The sequence below is a fragment of the Homo sapiens genome, chromosome 8, assembly GCF_000001405.40.
Source record: "Homo sapiens chromosome 8, GRCh38.p14 Primary Assembly".
Classification (NCBI taxonomy): domain Eukaryota; kingdom Metazoa; phylum Chordata; class Mammalia; order Primates; family Hominidae; genus Homo; species Homo sapiens.
Window position 1 is genome coordinate 99,934,614 of NC_000008.11, and position 1,557 is coordinate 99,936,170.

General features: G+C 41.3%; 1 annotated feature.

The window, feature by feature from the left end:
* Nucleotides 403-638: a silencer, noted in NCBI's record as "fragment chr8:100947244-100947479 (GRCh37/hg19 assembly coordinates)". NCBI's record gives its function as "represses an EF-1alpha promoter that drives an FKBP-Casp9 reporter gene in an ReSE screen in K562 erythroleukemia cells {active_cell/tissue: K562}" and the evidence as "EXISTENCE:reporter gene assay evidence [ECO:0000049][PMID:32094911]".

The following is a 1,557-nucleotide window of genomic DNA, read 5'->3' on the forward strand; positions in this document are numbered from 1 at the left end:
ACTACTTGTGGGAATGTAAAATGGTATACATTACGGAAAACAATATGGAGGTTCCTCAAAAAATTAAAAATGGAACTGCCATATGATCCAGCAATCCTACTTGTGGGCATATATCTAAAATAATTGAAACCAATATCTTCAAGAGATACCTGCATTCCCGTGTTCATTGTAGCATTACTCACAATAGCTAAGATATGAAAACAACTCAAATGTTCATCAACAGGTGAACGGATAAAGAAAAGGAGGCCGGGCTGGGCGCAGTGGCTCACGCCTGTAATCCCAGCACTTTAGAGGCTGAGGTGGGCGGATCACGACGTCAGGAGATCGAGACCATCCTGGCTAACATGGTGAAACCCTGTCTCTACTAAAAATACAAAAACAAACAAGCAAACAAAAAATTAGCTGGGCGTGGTGGCGGGCTACCTGTAGTCCCAGCTACTTGGGAGGCTGAGGCGGGAGAATGGCGTGAACCCAGGAGGCAGAGCTTGCAGTGAGCCAAGATTATGCCACTGCACTCCAGCCTGGGCGACAGAGGGAGACTCAGTCTCAACAAAGAAAAAAAGAAAAAAAAAAAAAAACCCGAAAAGAAAAGAAAAAAAAGGAGGCCAGCCACAGTGGCTCATGACTGTGATCCCAGCACTTTGGGAGGCCAAGGCAGGAAGATCATGAGTCCAGGAGTTTGAGACTATCCTGGGCAAGAAAGAGAGACCCCATCTCTACAAAAAACACAACAATTAGCCAGGTGTGGTGGTATACACCTGTAGTCCAAGCTATTCAGTCGGCTGAGGCAGGAGGACTGCTTGAGCCCAGGAGTTTGAGGCTGGGTGAGCTATGATTGTGCCGTTGCGCTCCTGCCTGGGCAACAGAGAGAGACCCTATCTCAAAAAAAAAGAAAAGAAAAGAAAGAAAGAAGAAAGAAAGAAAGAAGAAAGAAAGAAAGAAAGAGAGAGAGAGAAAGAAAGGAAGAAAGGAAGAAAGAAAGAAAATGTGGCTTATTTAGACAATGGAATATTATTTGGCCTTAAAATAGAAGAAAATCCTGCCATGTATGACAACATGGATGAACCTGGAGGACATTCTGCTAAGTGAAATAGCCAATCACAGGACAAGTACTGCATGATTCTATTTATATGTGGTATCTAAAACAGTCAAACTCATGGGAGCAGAGACTAGAGTGGTGGTTTCCTGGGGCCAGGGGGAGGGATAAATGGAGAGTTGTTCAATGGGTATAAAGTTTTAGTTATGCGAGATGAGTAAGTTCTAGGGATTTACTGCACAATATAGTACCTCTAGTTAACAGTATTGCACACTTAAAATTTTAAGAAGGTAGATCTCATATTATATATATATAAAAGAAACCAGGATACATTTAGAGGTGGTGGCTATAATTTTATTGTGATGATAGTTTTATGGGTGTGCGCATACATCCTAACTCATGAAATTGCGTACATTAAATATGTACAGTTTTTTTGTTTATGTTATACCCCAATAAAGCTCGTTTTTAAGAAGAGTCCTCATTTGTATAATGACGAGCAATAGATAAAGATGTTTTTAAAG